General features: G+C 35.7%; 1 protein-coding gene across 2 annotated transcripts in view; it reads left to right on the top strand.

Annotated features, from left to right (window-relative positions):
- The window catches only part of IBTK (inhibitor of Bruton tyrosine kinase), a 77,758-nt gene extending 57,594 nt beyond the window's left edge, over nucleotides 1-20,164 (top strand). For both annotated transcript variants that reach the window (NM_001300906.2, NM_015525.4), the window contains exons 26-29: nucleotides 8,123-8,272; nucleotides 16,713-16,784; nucleotides 17,639-17,771; nucleotides 18,595-20,164. In NM_001300906.2, the coding sequence (NP_001287835.1) occupies nucleotides 8,123-8,272; nucleotides 16,713-16,784; nucleotides 17,639-17,771; nucleotides 18,595-18,726 (487 nt within the window). In that variant the 3' untranslated portion in view covers nucleotides 18,727-20,164. The remainder of the gene's footprint in view (nucleotides 1-8,122; nucleotides 8,273-16,712; nucleotides 16,785-17,638; nucleotides 17,772-18,594) is intronic.

The following is a 21,879-nucleotide window of genomic DNA, read 5'->3' as shown; positions in this document are numbered from 1 at the left end:
GTCCAAAGCATGGTTACTGAAAAAGAAAGTAAAATAAGAGGTAAGAACACCCAAGGAAAAGAGAAAAGAGGGTAAAACTGGAGAGGATGAGCTTAGCAGAATTTTAAAATTTATCAGTATTTGTTAAGCACCTTCTAAATGTAAGGGACTGTGCTAGTTTCTGATGATAAGGCAATGAACAAGACAGATTTGACTGTTACCCTTGTAGGGTTTATGATATGACTGCTGCAATACTGAGTTGTGCTTTCTTTAAACAAAGGTATGGAAAATCCAAAAAGGGGGAAAAGTTATTGGAACCACTGTCAAGTACTAAATTGCAGTTTGAGAGAATTAACTAAGCTCATGATGAAGCTTTGGACTTGGTAATATAGCTGTAAGCATGCCATCAATCATTTTCCTTAAGCAAAAAGTGAACGAGTGAAAGTTGTTTCACTTATTTTTTTGGAGGCATATTCCTTAGAGTCCTGTGCTCTTTTGTGATCTGAACCGGGTCTTTTCCAGGCATGCTGAATATCTGTCATCTTGAGATTTTCTTTAACTGTTGTCTTGCAGGTCTTCCCTTCTCTCCAGTGTTTGATCCCCAGTTTTCTTGATCCTGTGGTTTTCTATTTCTTGATACACTCCTTGTTTTGATGTAGCACAACTCCAGTAGGTTTCTGATAAAGGATGTATAAGACATATATTTTTGGAGCTCGTATATTCATGAAAATGTTTTTATTCTAGCCTTCATTCTTCTTGACTGATAGATGGGAACGGGATTCTAAATTGGAAATCATTTGGAGAATTTATTCAATGCCATTTAATTCCTAAATCTTCTTATGTTACCTCCTGTTTTCTTCTCCACTTTTTTTTTCCCTGAAAGTTTACAGGATCTTTTCTTTATCTCTAATGTTCTGAAATTTTACAGTAATGTATCATAATGTAGGTCTTTTTTGATACATCCTGGGTACTTGGGCTCTTTTAATTGGCAACAGCATGTCTTTAAGTTCTAGGGAAATCTTATGTAATATTAATATTACTTTGATACTTTTCCTCCTCACTGTTTTCTCTACAAATCACATTAGTCAGATATTGGTCCCCCTAGGCTTCTCTAAATTTCTTACTTTTTCTTCTTTTTTTTTGAGATGGAGTCTCACCCTGTTGTTCAGGTTTGAGTGCAGTGGTGCGATCTTGGTTCACTGCAACCTCCGCCTCCTAGGTTCAAGCGATTCTTCTGTCTCAGCCTCCTGAATAGCTAGGATTACAGATGCCTACCACCACACCCGGCTAATTTTTGTATTTTTAGTAGAAACATGGTTTCACCATGTTGGCAAGGCTGGTCTCGAACTCCTGACCTCAAGTGATCTGCCTGCCTCAGCCTCCCAAAGTACTGGAATTACAGGTGTGAGCCACTACACTTTTTCTTTTCTATTGTCCACATATATGCCTTTTAATTCTACTTTCTGGAACATTTGCCTGACTTTTTCCAATCATTAAAATCTTTATCAAGAGCTTTTTTTGGTTTGTTTGTTGATGATACCTTTTTCTATAGTATTGTTTTAATATTCTAATGTTGAAGATCTCTGTACTCTGTAGGCATTTTCACTCTTTAGTATATACCCAACAGAAACACACACGTATGTACCACGCAACAAGTATAAGAATGTTCATAATTTATTATCTGTAATAGCCCAAACTGAAAACAATCTAGATGTCTATCAGCAGTCAGTGGATAAATTAATTTATTTTTATAGTAGAATACTACAGAGTAATGAAAAAGAATAAATCATGACTAAATACAACAGTGTGGATGAATCTTACCAATATGATATTGAACAAAATAAACCAATCAACCAAAAAAAAGAAAGCTAAAAATAGCCATTGATTTACATCCATGTTTTATTCATTCTACTCTATATGTGTTTTATTTTATTTCATTTTGTCAATTTATTGATTGATTGTTTTCTCTTAAGTTCTGACTGGAAGCTCTGTGTGCCTATGTTGTACAAATAGACTGATAGGTGTGACTATAGGGTAACGTATCAGATTCCTTAGGGACCCCTGAATCTCCCCATATGTTGGTTATCTCCATATCTTTTCTCCTTGGTCTCTTTAGTCTGTCAGTTTTTCTAAAGAGCAGCCTTTTAATTTTTTTTTGCTGTTAAGGTGTACATTTTGTTGCTAGCATTCTGGAAGCGTATCTCAGTGTAGGGAGGTTAGAGCTGGGACTGAACTTGTCACCATTTGTAATAGGTTTTCACATTTAGTGTATAGACTTTGTACACAACAGTTCACTCCCGCCATCCTCTATTACTAGTGACTTTGAATCAAATTTTCCTTCTGCCAGAGTAAAGGAGATGTAGTAATATGACCATATGGAGATAGGGAGTACATCTGGCACTTTCAGCCCCTCCTTAAATAAACTGAAACAATTTTCATGCTCATGTCGACTTCAGGATTTGATACATACTCTGTCTCCAGTATATGCCCCTTTCCAGAGTTCTCAGCTTCCCTCTTTACTGTCACCCACCTGATGACTGCTAGTATTTCTTTTTGTCCACTCGGCGACATCAGTTTTTATCATTCCATCTCTTTTGCTATCCTTCAAAAATGTGTTGCTGTTTTTAGACTGCCATTGTCTTAATAGCTTATTATTTTTGCCCTTGTGGGTTTATACCTTTCTGATTACTTTGCTGTACACTTTAGGATTTCAGAGGAAGGTATTCAAGTGGTCATTTATCTGAAACTTCTGACTAATTTTCAAACATAGGAAAAATTTTTCCTTGGTAATAGCAACATGAGCTTAGAGTGCCACATTGAAGGGACTATCTATCCAAATTTTAAGAGTCTATTATGGCATATTAAGGAGAATTCTAGAAAGATGGGAAGAAAGATGCCATAAATTTTGACCAAAAACATAGGTTATTTTTCTTTGAAAAGAATTTGATAATTATCTGGCTGGGCATGATGGCTCATGCCTGTAATTCAAGCACTTTGGGAGGCCAAGGCAGGCAGATCACCTGAGGTCAGGAGTTTGAGACCAGCCTGGCCAACATGGAAAAACCCCGTCTCTACTAAAAATACAAAAATTAGCTGAGCATGGTGTTGCATGCCTGTAATCCCAGCTACTTGGGAGGCTGAGGCAGGAGAATCACTTGAACCTGGGAGGCAGAGGTTGCAGTGAGTTGAGATCATGCCACCACACTCCAGCCTGGGCAACAGAGCAAAAATCCTTCTCAAAAAAAAAAAAAAAAAAAAGAATTTGATAATTATCAAATACAAGTGATATTTGTTATACATTTATTTTATGAAAACATGATTGGAAAACTTAAGTACAAACATGAGTAATGAGTTTTATGTATCTTAGTACACTAAGAAAATTTATCTAACTGACCAATTATAGATAATTTAGATAATTATAGATGTTATGGGTAATCTGAATTTTTGAGAATTATAGATATTCTGAATTATTATCATCAAGGTGAGAGGTATCTGAATTGTCTACAATTAGTAATTTATGCTCTTTTTAAGACTATACAGGCATACTTTGGAGATACTGCAGGTTCGGTTCCAGACTACCTTAGTAAAGCAAACATCGCAATAAAGCAAGTCACAAGAAATTTTTGGTTTCCTGGTGCCTGTAAAAGTAATGTTTATACTATACGTAGTTTGCTAAGTGTGCAATAGCATAATATCTACAAAAAAAAACCTTAATGTAAAACTATTTTATTGCTAAAAAATGCTAATGGTCATCTGAACCTTCAGTGAATCATCTTTTTATGGTGGAGTATCTTGCCTTGATGTTGATGACTGCTGACTGATCAGGGTGGTGCTTTCGTCACTAAGCTTAATTATTTCTAGCTTTTGATTTAAAGTGAGAGACATGTGACTTTTTCTTTCACTTGAACACTTAGAGGCCACTGTAGGGTTATTAGTTGGTCTAATTTCAATATTGTTGTTTCTTAGGAAATAGGGAGGCCTAAGGAGGAGAGGGAGAGAGATGGGAGAACTGCCAATTGGTGTAACAGTCAGAAAACAAACATTTATCAATTAAGCTTGCCAACTTGTATGGATGTGGTTCATGGTGCTCCAAAACAATTATAATAGTAACATCAAAGATCAAGATCACCGTAACAGATATAATAATAATGAAAAAGTTTGAAATACCAGGAGAAATACCAAAATATGACACAGAGACACAAAGTGAGCATGTATTGTTAGAAAAATGGCACGATATACTTGCTCCATGCAAGGTTGCCACAAACCTTCAACCTGTTTAAAAACACAGTAACTATGAAGCACAGCAAAGCAAAGCACTTCAGTATAAATTGAAATTACTGTTATTAAATTGTTGAATAATTTTCTTTCTTGAATTCTTAGAAGGCTGCAAAGTATTTTAACCTGAACTCTGGATAAAACATTAATTATTGAGTGAATATAATATGATATAATTTTTCATGTGATTATAAAATTATGAGATAGCCACATAATTCAGTATATCACTTGATTTTTAATCAGATACACATAGAATGTAAATACTTGTAATATATGCTTGAAGTAAAAATGGAATAGATTGTTTTCCTGAGAACATATCTCGTATGCATTGGTTTTAAAGAAAAAATTGGAACTTTTTTTTTGTTTTTGAGACAGAGTGCAGTGGTGCAATCTTGGCTCACTGCATCCTTGACCTCCTGGACTGAAGCAATCCTTCCACCTCAGCCTCCTGAGTAGCTGGGATCACAGGTGTGCATCAGCATGCTCAGCTAATTTTTTATTTGTTGTAGAGATGGGTCTGTATATCCCCAGCTGGTCTTGAACTCCTAGGCTCAGCAGTCCTCTTGTCTCCACCTCCGAAAGTGTTGGGATTACAGGCATGAGCCACTGTTCCTGGCTGAAGTTAACATTTTAATCAGATTTACAGATTGTTATTTATAGAATGTATTCATGACTGTGATGATTTATCTGTTTTTTTTTTTTTTTTTTTTTTCTGAGACAGAGTTTTGCTCTGTCGCCCAGGCTGCAGTGCCGTGGCGCAATCTTGGCTCATTGCAGCCTCTGCCTCCTGGGTTCAAGCACTTCTCCTGCCTCAGCCTCCCGAGTATCTGGGATTACAGATGCACACCACTATGCCTGGCTAATTTTTGTATTTTTAGTAGAGATGGGGTTTCATCATGTTGGCCAGGCTGGTTTCGAACTCCTGACCTCGTCATGATCCATCCACCTTGGCCTCCCAAAGTGCTGGGATTACAGGTGTGAGCCACCACGCCCAGCCGATGTAACTGGTTTTTAAAATCCTTCTTAAAGGTACATCATTACCTGAAGTATCATCTAATAAGATTTTACTTCTTCAAAAGATTTTTAAAAATATGTTTACATTAATATTAAGGTTAATGTGCAATTCATTAGCAAAACACAAATTAGCACTCTAAATATACTTGAGGTTGTGGTAGGATTTTCACTAGTTTGTTCACACATTCATTCACCTAGTCTGTAGAATTCCCAGTGTTTATAGTTGTACTCCTGCTGCTGACAGTTAGGTGTGGCAATGGAAAGTATTAGGGATAACTGGGTTTTTGCATTAGATTGAAGTTCCAACCAGGCAAATTTTAAATTTAATGTGAAAACACTAAGTATGTATGGGATTTGGCTACTTCTCAAAATTAAATGTTTCACTTGGAGAAATAATAGAACCTTTCTCATCAGTCATCTTCAGTGGAAGAATACTTTTTCTTTGTGGCCTGGCTTGATGTTTGAATGTAAATTCTTTCAAATTCCATTTAGAGCTAACCCATACAATATAAAACAATTTCAATTATTTAATATTTTAAAGCTAAAATATTATTTAGAGTAAAATTACAGGGCTTCTTTTGCTGAGGAGCAAAATTCTGGTTAATTTTTATGCAGGTACAAATGTCTAAAATTCTTCTCCATAAATTTTCTGTGGCTGTTAAGGTAGAAAATAGCTGGAGCTTGTGAGTTAGGAAAATAAAATTGTGGGAAATCAGGTACTGTTTCCAATTATGGCATAGTCAGTGGAAAGAACAGTAAAACATAATTGAAGAAATCTGTTTGTCAATCCTTATGCCAGTATCACACAATCTTAGTTCATTTTGTGCTGCTGTAACAGAGTCCCACAGACTGGGTAATTTATAATGAACAGATATTTATTGGCTCACAGTTCTAGAGGCTGGGATGTCCAATATCAAGGTGCTGGCATCTGGCAGGAGCCTTGTTCCTGCTTCATAGCATAGTGGAAGGCATATGCCAGCAGGGTGAGAGACAGCAAAAAGGGTTAACCATTCTCAGTGATAATGGCATTAGTCAGTTTGTGAGGCACCCTCATAACTTAAACACCTCTTAAAGGTCTCATCTCACAATACAATCACAGTGACATTTACATTTCAACATGAGTTTTGGAGGAAATACATTCAGACCTAGCTTATACTATCCTGATTACCATAATTGGTTTTGTCTTCTTCCAACTTTCTATTTTTTTTAAAAGAATGCTTTGGCTAATCTGGGATATTTTATTCTCATGTAAATTTTAGAATCAGTTTGTCAATTTTTGCAGTTAAAAAACCTAGTGAGATTAATTCAATTTTTAAAATAGATATAGTCTATATAGACTTTCTGTTATTTTCAGTAATTTAGTTTTTTAAAAAAGATATTTGTCTATTCCATGTAAATTGTCAAATTTATTTGTGTTAAGTTGTTTATAACATTTCTATCTTTTTTTTTTCTCTGTTTTGTTTTTCATTTTTTGAGTCAGAGTCCTGCTCTGTCACCCAGCCTGGAATGCAGCGGCCCTGTCTCGGCTCACTGCAACCTCTGACTCACAGGTTCAAGCAATTCTCATGCCTCAGCCTCCTGAGTAGCTGGGATTACAGGTGTGTGCCACCATGCCCAGCTAATTTTTGTATTTTTAGTAGAGACGGAGTTTCATCATGTTGGCCAGGCTGGTCTCAAACTCCTGGGCTCAAGCGATCCACCTGCCTTGGCCTTCCAAAGTGTTGGGATTACAGGCATGAGCCACTGTACCTGGCTCTATAAGATTTCTTTATTACCCTTTTAATTTCTGTAATATCTTGTATTAGTTATTTATTGCTTCATAACAGATTATACTTGAACAACAGCTTAAAACAACCAACATTTATTATCATAATTCCTTTGGGTCAGGAATCTCAGCTGAATGCCTCTGACTCAGGATCTTCCACAGTGCTGCAGTCAAGGTTTGGCCAGGGCTATAGTCATTTCAAGGCATGACTTGAAGAGGACCTACTTTCAAGATTACTCAGATATAGAATTCTGGATTGACATTCTCTACCTCTTTCATCATATTAAAGATTCCTTTCCATCGTCTTTTGGGCTTCATTGTTTCAAATAACAAGCTACTCATTTTCATTCTGTGTTGTGTTTCTATGGCTGCTGTCAAGATTTTCTGTTTAGCTTTGGTTTTCAGCTGTTTATTTATTATGTGCCTAAATATGGTTTTCTTTGTTTTATCTTTTTTGGGGTTTGCCAAAATTCTGGAGTCTTTAAATTTATATCTTCCACCAAATTTGGGAAAATTTTGGCCATTGTTTCTTTTTCTCTGCCGTATCTCTCTTCTTTATTTCTGGGACTTCAGTTAACACATATGGCAGACCTTTTGATTTTATCTTATAACTCACTATGGAATAATTTTCTTCAACTTCTCTTTTTTGTTTTTCAGATTCAAAAATTTCTTTTGGTTTATCTTCAAGTTTACCGACTCTTCCATCTATACAGTGAATTTTTAAAAATATATTAAAAATTCTTGAATTTTCATTTTGCTCTTTTTTTAATAGTTTCTTTTCTTTTGCCGAACTTACCTATTTTTAATGAGCTTTTGTTGTTGTTATCTGATGCATAATTGTAATAGCTATTTTAATATTGCTAATTTTAACATCTGAGTTATCTCTAGACTTGGTCTTCATTGATTGGTTTTTCTTATGGAATAGTTTTGGATATTTCACAATTGGCAGCAAGAATCCAACATCACATTGAAAACTGCAATTGTATATTGTAAAATTTTTGGTATACGTTCTTATTGTTCTCTTATAACTTCCAGCAATGCCCTTTTACAAAATGGATGTTTTAACATGATCTTTGCTTTCTTTTGCAGGGCATCTTCTCTGCATTCAGTTTCATCCAAGTCATTCCGGGATTTCTTACTAGAAGAAAAAAAGTCTGTTACTAGCCATAGTTCAGGCGATCATGTCAAAAAAGTTTCTTTTAAAGGAATTGAAAATTCTCAGGCACCAAAAATTGTCAGGTAATAAAACAAACTTAAAACTAATACATTTTCTACCTTAAAATATTCTGTGGTGGTTTTATGTTCTGAAATAATCCTTAAAACTTTATGAGGCAGATTTTTTGTACACTCTTTTACATTCAGAATTAAAATTAGCATGTTTAAATTCCTTCCCCACTTAAAAAAAATTGAAACGGTTACGGAGATATAATTGACTTAAAATCAATTGCGTATATTTAAAGTATACATTCTGTAGTTTCAGCGTATATATACACCTATGACACCAACACAACATTCAAAATAGTGAACATAAGCATCATTTTCAGATGTTTTGTCATGTCCCTTTGTAATCCCTTCCTCTCTTCCTTCTGTTTCCCCCTCCCAAGCAGCTACTAATCTACCAATAAAGATTAGCTTGTACATTTTAGAGTTTTATATCAGCAGGGTCGTGCAGTATGTACCCATTGTAAAATCTGTCTTCTTTTACTCAGCATAATTATTTTGAGATTTATTCATGCTGTTATGGGTATCCATTGATTCTGTTTCACTACTGAATAGTATTTCATTGTATGGGTATACCACATCAATGTGTTTATCTGTGCATCTGTTGATGGACCTTTAGGTATTTGCAATTTTTTCTCTAGCTATTTTTTAATTTTAATTTTCATGAAAGTAGAGATGGGGGTCTCATTATGTTGCCCAGGCTGGTCTCAAACCCCTGGCCTCAAGCAGTTCTTCTACCTCAGCCTCCCAAAGTTCTAGGATTACAGGCATGAGCCGCCACACCTGGCCTAGCTATTTTTGATACTGCTTTAGAAAGTCCAATGTATTTAAAAAAAAGTTTCATATTTTAAATGCCTACATGAAACATCAAAATCTATCTATAATTTAAAAGCAGTATTTTCAGTGAGCTGTGATCAAACCACTGCACTCCAGCATGGGTGACAGAGTGAGACCTGGTCTCAGACAAAACAAAACAAAATAAGTAAGATATGTTATGTCCAATTCAAGTGCATCAAACAGATAATATAAACTTTTCTGACTGAAGCAAGGAACAGAGACTGGGAGCTATACTAGTTTAATGTCACTTTACCTGTCCTGAGGAACTATCAAAGTCTTCTGACAACAATGTTTGGAAACTCCTGATTTAGATTAAATGTTTAGGCATATTTTTATTGTTACTATTGTGACTGTCTTCTTTTTTACAGATACTTAGATTTAGGCGGAAAGTTCTTGAGCCGTTTTCTTGCAATACAGAAAATCAAAGAGCAAAAAATATCTGAAGTCATCTCCCTAACTTGTCTAATACTTCTAGCATTAAAATACTATTTTAAAATTAAAATCTTAGGCTGAGTTCAGTGGCTTAATGCCTGTAATCCTAGCACTTTGGGAGGCCGAGGTGGGCAGATCACTTGAGTCCAGGGGTTCAAGACCAGCCTGGCAACATGATGAAACCCTGTCTCTACAAAAAATAGCAAGAAAAATAAATTAGCTCGGCTTGGTGGCATGTGCACGTAGTCCCAGCTATTCAGGAGGCTGGGTGGGAGGATTGCTTGAGCCTGGGAGGTAAAGGCTGCAGTTAGCCATGATTGTGCCACTGCACTCCAGCCTGAGTGACAGAGGGAGACCCCGTCTCAAAAAACAAAACAAAACAAAATAAAAAAACCTTAAATGGAATACTAACATATGAAGCAGATTAAGCCTTTTTGCATATTTATAAATTACAATTATAATTATGATAGGCTTATAAATATAAAACTAGGTACATAGTCTTAAAATTGTCTATCAAACATTTATTGATTATGAGCTTTGTGTCAAACATTATGCTAAGTACTAGAGTTGCAGTGGTGAACAAATTAGCCCCTGCCTATGGTGAACAAATTAGCCCCTGCCTATATAGAACTATCCTCCTTTCTTGTTTTGTCATAGAAGAGTTATCTCTCCTATCTTAGGCCAATACCTGTGCTTTTATCTTAATGCTTCCCATTTCAGAAGCCTGAAAACTATTAATTACCCCTTTCCTTTCTTGTGTAAGATTCAACATTTTCCTTTTAACTAGATTCTTCCCCTCTGGTTTTGAATGTGCTCAGGTCTCTCATGTGGTCTGGGCACACTTTCTTCTATCAGTTGTCCTATCATTACCAATTCTCCATCCACTTCACAGCCAGATTTCTCAAAAGAGTTGTCACCTCCCAATCAGTCCGTAATTGATTCTATCTCCCAGCCCCATTACTAAACTGAAACAGTACCAGTACAGGCTAAGTTCAACAGTGACCTTTGTATTGCCAACACCATCCACTTTTTATGTGACTCATCATACTTGAAGTTCAATTACTGGTCGTCGTCTTATTTCACTTTATATTCTTTCTACACTATCCATTTAATGAGCATATGTTCAGTCGTCAGACATGTACTAAAGTCTCAAAATTTATATCTCTTGCCCATATCTATCATCTGAACTTTAGACTTAATTATCTCTTATTGACCCTACCATTCTATCTGGATGTTCAGAAAGACCACAAACTTCATGTCCAAAACTAAACTTAATGTTTTCCTCATACCCATCTCATAAAACCAAAATCAAACAAAAATATAGACAAAACATAGAACAGCCTGTTTTTTCGGAATCTTCTTCCTCAGTAAATAGGAAGAATTTGTGTCTTTGGCACTTCCATTTTCTTCACAAATATTCAGTCTACTGTTAGAGCATTCCACTTTTATCTCTTAAATATTTCTCAAATCCATATACTAAATTTTATCTCCAGTGCTATCACCTCTGAGTCAGTCTGGTGTGATACTTCACCTGGGCCACCAGAGTTACCCTCCTGACTGGTCTTGCCTTTCTTTACTCCAAATATATTAAGCCAGTATGTTCTTTTTTAAAATTTGGAGTTTACTGCTTTTAAGAGAAAAGCTATAGCATTCTTAACATGGCCTTCAAGGCCTACATAGTCTGGCTCCTGCCAACTGTCTTTAACTTGATTTTGTAACCTGATCTCTGTATTCTAGTCATCTTGGCCTTCTCTTAGTTCTCAAATGCACTTTCCTTCTTTCCACCTCCTTACTCTTTGACAGACTGACGACTCTGACTCTTCTTTCAATATCTATTCAGTTATATTCTTTGGAGAAGTCTGACTTACTGGGGCAGTTTGCTGTTGTTTGTTCTCATAGTACTTCTTTTTTATTGTACGTTCCATATTTATTAGTGTGATTCTTTAATATTTGTCTACTCTAAGTATTTTCATGTTTGTATGTTTAATTATATGTTCAATGAGAGCAAGGAGGATGTTTGTCTTTGCTCATCATTTTACTACCAGTGTTCATATTAGCTTCTGGCATGTATTGGGTGCTCAGTGAGTCTGGTGAATGAATGAGTAAATTAATTGAAATTGTAACCCTGTTTCAAGTAACATTTGTTTCTAATGTAGTGAGTTATATTGCATGTCTTAGATATATCAATTTAAAGGTATGAAAATTAAGATAAGTTTTGTATTTTTATATTTTAAATATTAATATTCATTGAAACTTAAAAAAAAGTCTTTAGATATATAACGATTTGTCATGGAACTTAAAATATGGATCTGTGGTTTCATAGTTGATCACTAGAGTGTGCTATAACATCAGGGCTCTTAATTATAAGTGTGCCCTGTTATACTGCTTTGGAAGTTTGACTCAATGGAGTTTATGACAGTATGATATATCCATAGCTTCAGTATTTTTGGTATGGGAGTTAATGTTTTAAATAGCTTTGGCTATCACTGCTAGTGATTCTGAGAAAGAAGACAGATAGCTTTGAGTTTCAGGGTTTTTTTCCATCATAGAAAACATAATAAGTATGCTTTTTTAAAAAGGAAATATTAAACATTACAGACAAACTAAAATATTCATTAATTTGCAAATTATGGGCTACCTGGTACTGGCCTGTGTTGGGTATATATAAAAGTAGAATGTATAGGTGCAGCCTTTAATGTGTCTGAAATCTAGTTGATAAATATTAATATACATACATGGAAGTTAAATGACAGAATAAGAATGAAATTACGATACAAGGGCCAGGCGCTGTGGCTCATGCCTGTAATCCCAGCACTTTGTGGGGCTGATGTGGGCGGATCACATGAGGCCAGGAGTTTGAGACAAGCCTGGCCAACATGGGGAAACCTTGTCTCTACTAAAAATACAAAAATTAGGCCGGGCGTGGTGGCTCATGCCTGTAATCTCAGCACTTTGGGAGGCCGAGGCAGGCAAATCACCTGAGGTCGGGACTTCAAGACCAGCCTGACCAACATGGAGAAACCCTATCTCTACTAAAAATATAAAATTAGCCGGGCCAGGGGTGGCACATGCCTGTAATCCCAGCTACTTGGGAGGCTAAGGAAGGAAAATTGCTTGAACCCAGGAGGCGGAGGTTGTGGTGAGCCGAGATTGTGCCATTGCACTCCAGCCTGGGCAACAAGAGTGAAACTCCATCTCAAAAAATAAATAAATAAATAAAAAGAGAAATAAATAAGTAAATAAATAAATAAGCTAGCCAGGCATAGTGGTGCATGTCTGTAATTTAGCTACTAGGGAGGCTGAGGCAGGAGAATTGCTTGAACCCAGGAGGTGGAAGTTGCAGTGAGCCAGGATCACGTCACCGCACTCCAGCCTGAGCGACAGAGTGAGACTCTGTCTCCAAAAACAACAACAACAACAACAACAACAAAACAAAAAGAAATTACGATACAATATGGAAGTATTAAAGAGATTACAATATGATGAAGTACCAAATGAGTGGTTCTGAGAAGAAAAACTGAGCATGGGCTGGTGTTGTCAGGAAGACTTCATTGCAGAAGAAGGGCTTGAGCTGGGTCAGTTCATAAGCACTTTTTATATTCATTTCCAAATATTTTATTATTATATTTATAAGCATGTGAAAAACATTAGAAAAAAAGAGATCACTTAATTCTTGATTCCTTTCATTGTCATAAGCTTTTGAATACAGGATGGGATTTTTAAAAGAAGAAATAAGAGAAGATGGGGCAGTATAAACAGAGGAAATCGTGGGAGTTAAGAAGATAGGAATGCTTATGGTCCTTTGGGGAGTTAGGGTGCCAGGGGTGGGGGACTCATCTCAGGAAATTCCACAAATTATACATTCTTGTTTTAGTTCTAGAAAATGTGATTTTTTTCCAAGGTTAGGGCAAGAATGACAATGTTGTTTGAGGGTGTTAACATCTAAAAGTGAGCAATTTGTACAATTTTTATTTGTTTATTGTTACTTAGGTATTCTTTTTTATTTCATGTGCTTTTATTTCTCATTTTCCTTTCACTGAAATGTCCCCTTATGTAATTCTGGAAAGAAAATGTAAGCTTGTGTTTCTTTTTTTTTTTTTTTTTTTGAGACGGACTCTCGCTCTTGTCACCCAGGATGGAGTGCAATGGCGTGATCTCCGCTCACTGCAACCTCTGCCTCCCAGGTTCAAGTGATTCTCTAGCCTCAGCCTCCCCAGTAGCTGGGACTACAGGCGCCTGCCACCATGCCTGGCTGATTTTTATATTTTTAATACAGACAGGGTTTTGCCATGTTGGCCAGGCTAGTCTCGAACTCCTGACCTCAGGTGATCTGCCCACAGCCTCCCAAAGTGCTGGGATTCCAGGTGTGAGCCACTGTGCCCAGCTGAGCTTGTGTTTCTAATTAGTGAAAAAAACTACTTGTGAGAAAAAAATTATTCTGTGATTATATCAGCTCCAATCTGATATAAAAATCTTTCTAATTAAGCCAGTACAATTTTTTTAAGGCCAACTGAGCAAAGAATAATTTAGTTCCTTTAAAGTGTAAATGTGACAATATTAATGTTTTTTGGTTTGAACAAAAATCTTTTTTTTTTTTTGAGATGGAGTTTCGTTCTTGTTGCCCAGGCTGGAGTGCAATGGCTTGATCTCAGCTCACCGCAACCTCTGCCTCCTGGGTTCAAGCGATTCTCCTGCCTCCGCCACCCTAGTAGCTGGGATTACAGGTATGCGCCACCAAGCCTGGCTAATTTTGTATTTTTAGTAGAGATGGGATTTCTCCATGTTGGTCAGGGTGGTCTCGAACTCCTGACCTCAGGTGATCCGCCTGCCTCGGCCTCCCAAAGTGCTGGGATTACAGGCGTGAGCCACTGCACCTGGCCAGAACAAAAATCTTTTAAGGAAAATTTCAGTTAACCTTTTTATGTTGCTGTTTATTTTCAGAAGGCTAAATTTTCTACAGATTGTCTCTTGCGATATCTACTTCTATGTTGCTAATGTTGAAAACTCAATAATGCTATATTTATTATTTGAAAGTTTAGAATGTTTTTGATATTTGTTTAATCATAGCTCTATTTTATTTGACAAATTTGGTTCATTTTAAGAAGAAATTTTGACAGACTCCACATTGGATAAATTTGTAATTAATGAAATTATCCGTTGAAACATCATGAGTGGAAAAAGTTATGGAATTGTAGTCTTAGGAAACATATTTGAGATTCAGTATAACATTATACAGCTCTTTCTGAGTCTTTCTGTACCTCAGTTTCATAATATGGAAATGAGAGTAGTAATACCTATCATGCAGGCTTACTACAAGGCTTATATCAGTTTGTAATTCAGTACTTATATCTCTAAGAAAAGTTATCAGTAATTTAAAGCAATAAAGAACCTAAAAACCTCTGCTTTTCATTATCGTATACTAAAAAAATACCCTTTGAGTTTCTGTTTCAGTCGTTAATTTTCTAATTAATTTTTCATAAACGACTATTTCCAAGTATTCTGGTGGACACTGAGATACAAAGATGAATGAAACACAGTCCTGTTCCCCAAGAGACTAGTCTAGCAGTTAAGATTGACATGTAAACAATAATAACAGTGTGTGATGCTTTATCATAATGATTGAAGTTTTGTAGGAGGAGAGAGAAGGTGACATTTGAGCCAACTGTAAAAGAGTGAGAAGACATTTGAAGTGGAATATATTCCAGAATAAGGGGAATAGTAAAAATAAAGGTAGCTGTGTGATCATGGAAAAAACACTGTACTCTAAATCAAAAAGACCAGATTTTTGTTATCTCTCTGCTACTTATCTAACTTGTTAATCAGACAAATTATATAATATTCTTTGAGTTTGTTTTTTAATCTCTATAATAGTTAATATATGCTTTCTTCACAGGGTATTGCAAAGATTAAATGGGATAATACACATGAAGTACTTAGGCTTTTAGTAAATTTGTTTGCCCACACATTAGGGCTAAACATTTTAGCTTTCAGTGCATTTTGTACTCTGGCTCTATTGTTTCTTTTAAACTTTATTTCTCTTTAAGTTTCTTCCTTACCCTGAATTCAGGCATTCTTTGCTTATTGAAGAGAACAGCCTGCCTTTACTTAAATAACTGAAATCTTTTTTAGGTCCATGTATTTGTACAACCAAAATTCTTTCTAATTGTACGTCTCCTCAGCTTTAATGTCATTTCCTCAGTGAAGCCATCAGTATATACAATCTTCCATATTGTATTTTTTCTTCTGTGCATCCATAGTACTTTATACATTGTTTTATCATTGCTTAAGTATATTTTTAAATCTTCCCCATCAGAATTTTTTGAGGGGAGAAGATTGGGTTTTAATCAGCCTGATTTTTAGCACCTACAGTAATCCTGACATGCTCAATAAATGTGTATAAATGAATCACGAAGTCAATATTTTAGGTCCTGTTAATTTACTCTCTGTTTGACTTTGTGTTGTTAAACCTGTCTAGTCCTCAGTTTTCTCATTGCTGAAAGAGAGCATTGGAGCAATCTAGATAATCTCTAGGGACCTTTCTAGCTGTAAAATTCCATAATTAGGTCCATCTGTATTGTACCTTTTTAAGTTTTTCTCCTTACTGGAATGCTTCTTACTGCTTTCATCATATACCTCTTTTTTATTATCTTCTCAAGTTCATTCCATCCATGAGGCCCTCTCAAATGATTAAATATTGTGATTTTTATAGTTGTTATAGCCAGTGTGACTCAATTTGTTATACTGTCTTAAATTCTGTTCTGTTATTTTATATGTCATTTTGTATGTTGTTTCCTCAACTAGCTTGTGAATTCTTAGAAGGTAAAGATCATATTTTATATTTCTGTCCTATCTGTAATCCTTTGCTCATAAAGTATATTAGTTCCTTACAAAATTCGGCTGTTAATTATCTGATTTAGAGATTATTGGTTTATCTGGTGTGTGTATATATATATTTATTATTAGAAATAGGCTATTTCTTGCAGTATCTTTCTCTATGATATTTTATACAGAAGGTTTTATAAATATAGATTATTTTGTTTACTTATAATTTTAAAGGTAAGCTTGACTGCACTCATTTAATTTGCCTCTGGAGTCAGGAGTTTACAATTCTTCCTCTGTATCTATTAATAAGCAGTTTGACTAATATTACTAGAAGCTTTAATCTTTAATTTTGGCATTTGTTTTGCAGATGCTCTACCCATGGTACCCCAGGACCAGAAGGCAACCATATTTCAGATTTACCACTTCTAGACAGTCCCAAGTAAGGTTAATTGATAAGTTATGGGCCTCCAAAGCTAAGTTGCTGCTTAGCATTGAAAACATTAAGGCTGAGTGCAGTGGCTCATGCCTATAATCCCAGCACTCTGGGAGACTGAGGCGGGTGGATCATCTGAGGTCAGGAGTTCAAGACCAGCCTAGCCAACATGGCAAAACCCTGTCTTTACTAAAAATACAAAACTTAGCTGGGCATGGTGGCGCATGCCTGTGATGCCAGCTACTCATGAAGCTAGGACAGGAGAATCGTTTGAACCTGGGAGGCAGAGATTGCATTGAGCCGCGATCATGCCACTGTACTCCAGCCGGGGCGACACAGTGAGACTCTGTCTCAAAAAAAAAAAAAAAAAAAGAGAATAAGAGAATGTTAAGAAATTGGGAATAGTATGGTATTGAGTAGAATGTATTACTTGTATCCTCTCCGTACTGTAGTTTGAGTTACCTTTCTGTTCAGTTATGTTGTTTCTGCTCCCTCCCCATTTCCTGGTACTTTCCAAAATTTTCTCTCTAATACTGGTCCAAATAAAACATTAGTTCTTCTGTTTTTCTGTTTCTCACCTCATCATTCTGTAATCTCTGCGAAAGCTTCCAGGTTCGCTCATCGTAGGTCACTGGAAAAAATTGTAGCATTGCTAAAGAGTATTTCAGAGAAAATTTTGCATGCAAAAATTTAGGAAGATGAGTGAAACTCATCATTCTGTAATCTCTGTGAAAGCTTCCAGGTTCGTTCATTGTAGGTCACTGGAAAGAATTGTAGCATTGCTAAAAAGTATTTCAGAGAAAATTTTGCATGCAAAAATTTAGGAAGATGAATGAAACTCATTATTATTATTCTTTCAGTCCCTGGCTATCTTCTTCAGTGACTGCTCCATCCATGGTAGCCCCAGTCACTTTTGCATCTATTGTAGAAGAAGAACTACAACAAGAAGCAGCTCTTATTAGAAGTCGAGAAAAACCGTTGGCTCTGATTCAGGTAAATAACATACTTAGTAGGGTTTAATTTAGAGAAGAACTACATTTCCTACTTAGGTTTTAAGAAAATCGTGTTTGTTTGTTTTGGACAGGTGCTTGTATCTATGAAATTAAAATGTAAATGCCAGGTAAAATTAAACTGAGGCATCTAGCAGTGTATGTATTAGTTGTAGATATTCAGGGCAATTAATTTATGACTAATAAATTATGATAAAGCTTATATTTTTGCTTTGGTGATACTTTGGATTATTTTAGTTTTTTTAAAATGACCAGTAGAGAATTTGGCAGTATTCTCTAGTGCTGCACTTGGCTTCTGTATCAGTAAGAATTCTAAGATTGTAAGCAACAGAAGCCCACTCTGGCTAACTTAAGGAAAAGATAATTTATTTGAGGGATATTAAGATTCCATAGACTTAGCTGAAAGACCAGACAGCCAGGCTTGGAAACAGAAAAGACGCATAGTAGCACTGGAAAGCTCAGAAGCAAGATTTAGAAGACTTGTACAACAACAGAAAGTATCTCACAGAATAAAGCTATTGGAATGAATGAATTTTAGCAACCATTTTCAGTTTCTTTTTCCTTCTGCTCAAGATTCAAATTGAAGAGCGCATGGGTATCTCATGATTCTACCTCACACCTCAAGCTTTCTCCTTGCCACAGAGATAGCAGGATACCTGATTTAAAATGCAGGATACCTGATTTAATTTCACTGTATTGTATCCATGGAAAGTGATAGTTCCTCAAAAGGAAATTGGAAGGCAAATACATCCTGCTTAGTTTATAATTAAAAGAGTAAAGAGTCTTCTTTCCCTTCCTCCTTTCAGATTGAGGAGCATGCCATACAAGATTTATTGGTTTTCTATGAGGCATTTGGCAACCCTGAAGAGTTTGTCATTGTTGAAAGGACACCGCAGGGACCACTGGCAGTACCTATGTGGAATAAGCATGGATGCTAGTTCACTGTGGAGTTGAGATGCATTTTACATAATTATGAGTTTGTTCATATAAAGAAAAGCTGTGGAAAAGAGTCTTAGAGATTTTGTAATATCATTCTAAATAGATTAAGAAAAGATATAATTTCTTTACTGCAGTTAAATCATATAATGTTTGTATGATTAAAAATAAATTTCTCAGAATTGTGATTTTAGTAACTTTATATAAAATGTGTGAGACAAAAACTTATTAAGGTTAAATAGAATTGTTTCTTCTGAATAATCTAACAAAGGAAAATATAAGTGATTGAATCATAAGATATAAGGGGGGTAAAGTATTAAAAATAACTTTTTTGTTTGATAACTTGAGAATTTAGAAGATTTTGCCAAGTATGTGTTGTTGCTTGACTTCTTAAATATGGCATTGATGAATTTAAAGTAGGAGCATCAGTTATTACTTCTGATTCATTAATGGCCAGAATTTTGTGTTTGGTGTAATAGTTGTGTCACCATTCTTGTTGCTTTTTAAAAATCAGGCTAATCATGTGGTCCATGTCTCTTCAAAGCTTGACCTGCACAAATGCCATATTTCTATTTGGACCACATATTCTCCATTTTGCATTGAGCAGTAGAGTACAGTGGAAAGGGAATAAGAATACTGATTATTCTGAACAGTTTAGTCCCAAGAGAATAGCGTTTTAAAAAAGAAAAACAAGATTTGGAGTCATTGTGGGTTATTTTTGGTGGGATGGAGGATCTTAAAAATGCCTAATTGTGAGAGAATCAATTGCTGAAAGTGTTAAAATTTCTGAAAATAAATGCTTAATTACATATACAGGAATTAAATAGTTTGGAAGAGGGTTGGATTATCATTACCTTTACAATACTGTATAATCAGAAGTTCTCTGAACCTCAATTGTATATCTAGACATAAAAATTGTTTTCTGTATAGGATGTTGTTTGGTTTGTTTCTGAGTGTTTAAATTTTGCAAAAACAAATGTTAAATTTGTGCTTCAGTACCTAGATAAATTGGAAAGGTTAATGTTCTAGTTTCTGGAAGGTAAGCCTGGGAGACACATAAGCAATTCACTGCTATAATTTAGTTGATGTAAAATGACGGAAACTGACTCAATATGTCAGGTTTAACTCTGCCCAAAAGCAGCAGACATGTAAGCAGATGTGCAATAAAAAATGATCTTGATCCATTTCACTAATGTGTGCTTGACATTTTTTACTATATTGACATTTATTATGGAAAGAGTTAATAATTATTTTTTCTGATGTGCTACACTAGTGGCCAGTATATGGTTAAGTTGATGCTGTATTTATTCTAAGACGGATTTAAAAAGGCAGTTTTCTAAATATGAACTTGTGAATTTTTGTATGTGTGTTTGAGTAAATTGAGAAATGAATTTTATAAATGTTCTATTGATGTTGCAGTAAAGAAGCCTTTTGAAGTAATTGATTTCATTTGAAGCTTTGATTCTTCTGTATATGTTGACATCTTTAATATTTACAGATGCTGTAAAGTGATGATTTTCTTGCTGTCCTCCGTGCTGCCTGGGAAGCACTCTTGGGGGTCTTTGTTGGATGGGGTGTGAAAGAGGGGCAAGAGCTGAACCGCATCTGTGAGGCTTTAGGCAGTTACAAACTACAACCAGAGCAGTTGCACTTTATGGTCTGTTTTATGTAGTGAGGTATTATATATAATTTTATTGGGAAAAAAGGAGTTCTTTTGCTAGTAAAGTTAAAGAGAAACACTGTCATAAACTGTATTTCTTCATAAATAATTCCATGAAGATAGCTATCTGACACATTGCTGTCAAAAAGCCCAGGAAAGTGATAAGGGTTTTCTTTCTCCCCTAACAAAATAACATTATTCTGCTACAGTATTCATCTCTAATTCCATAACCTCAAAAAGACCTGATAGAATTGAATAAATACTGGAAATGACAAATTTAAAATATCAGTGGGATAGAGAGATCTTTAAGATTTATGAAAACAATTACAGAACTCTTTTTTTTTTTTTTTAATTGAGGCACAATCTCACTCCATCACTCAGACTGGAGTGCAGTGGCAGGATCTTGGCTGACTGCAACCTTTGCCTCCTGGCAGAACTCTTCAGCCTGAAAAAGCGATGGTTGGGTAGGACATTGGGATAAGGGTATGTCAGAGGCAGAATATGCTTAAAACTTGCAAAATCAAGAAGACTGCTAATCAGGTAAAGTCAAATTTGTTGACAAAATATTGGGATTCAGGACTCTTCTTCAAGTCCTAAAGAGATGGTTTTTAAAATAAATTTAAGAAAACCTAGCTTTATATAGGAGCAATATCCAGTCATTTGAGAAAGCATTGCTAGTTATGTCTGGGTTGATTCCCTTTAACTGTTTTGGAGGCCAGGGTGTATATATTTGTTCATGATAAGGTGTAAATAGCTCTTTCATAAAATTTTAGATCTGAAGCCTTATTGATTAATTTTAATGTATATTCTCTTCATTTTATAAATTGAAGAAAGCTGGCCGGGCGTGGTGCTCATGCTATAATTCCAGTACTCTGGGAGGGCGATGCTGGTGGATCACTTGAGGCCAGGAGTTCAAGACCAGGCTGACCAACATGGTGAAACCCCGTCTTTACTAAAAATACAAAAATTAGCCAAATGTGGTAGTGGGCGCCTGTAATCCCAGCTACTTAGGAGGCTGAGGTAGGAGGATCACCTGAGTCAGGGAGGCGGAGGTTGCAGTGAACCAACATCATGCCACTGTGCTCCAGCCTGGGTGACAGAGTGAGACCCCATCTCAAAAAAAAATTGTACATATAGTGGTGGAGCCAAACTTGACCTGATGTTTCTCCCAAATATGGTTCAAGCTTTGCTCATGCTGATCTCTACCTAAATTTTTCTTTTTCTTCAGATAAAATTCTACCTATCCATAATTAAGGCAATCAAAATTCTCTTTCCTTTATAGTTTTTCTGGTTTCCCTCCATACACCCTCAAACATAAAGTAACATAAAAACAGTAGCATACATGGATCAGCTATGTTCTCATTTCCTTGTAACCCTATACCTTTCAGGGTACTTGTCATATTCTGCCATTACTTTTGTTTTTCTATTAATCTAGTCTTTTACTAAATTACTTGTACTTTGAGAACATAGACTAGGCATTCTTTTCTTTCTTGTA

This window comes from Homo sapiens, chromosome 6 (genome assembly GCF_000001405.40).
Source record: "Homo sapiens chromosome 6, GRCh38.p14 Primary Assembly".
NCBI classification, from domain to species: Eukaryota; Metazoa; Chordata; class Mammalia; order Primates; family Hominidae; genus Homo; species Homo sapiens.
The sequence above is the reverse complement of the archived record's forward strand: the minus strand, read 5'-3'. Positions and strand labels throughout refer to the sequence as shown.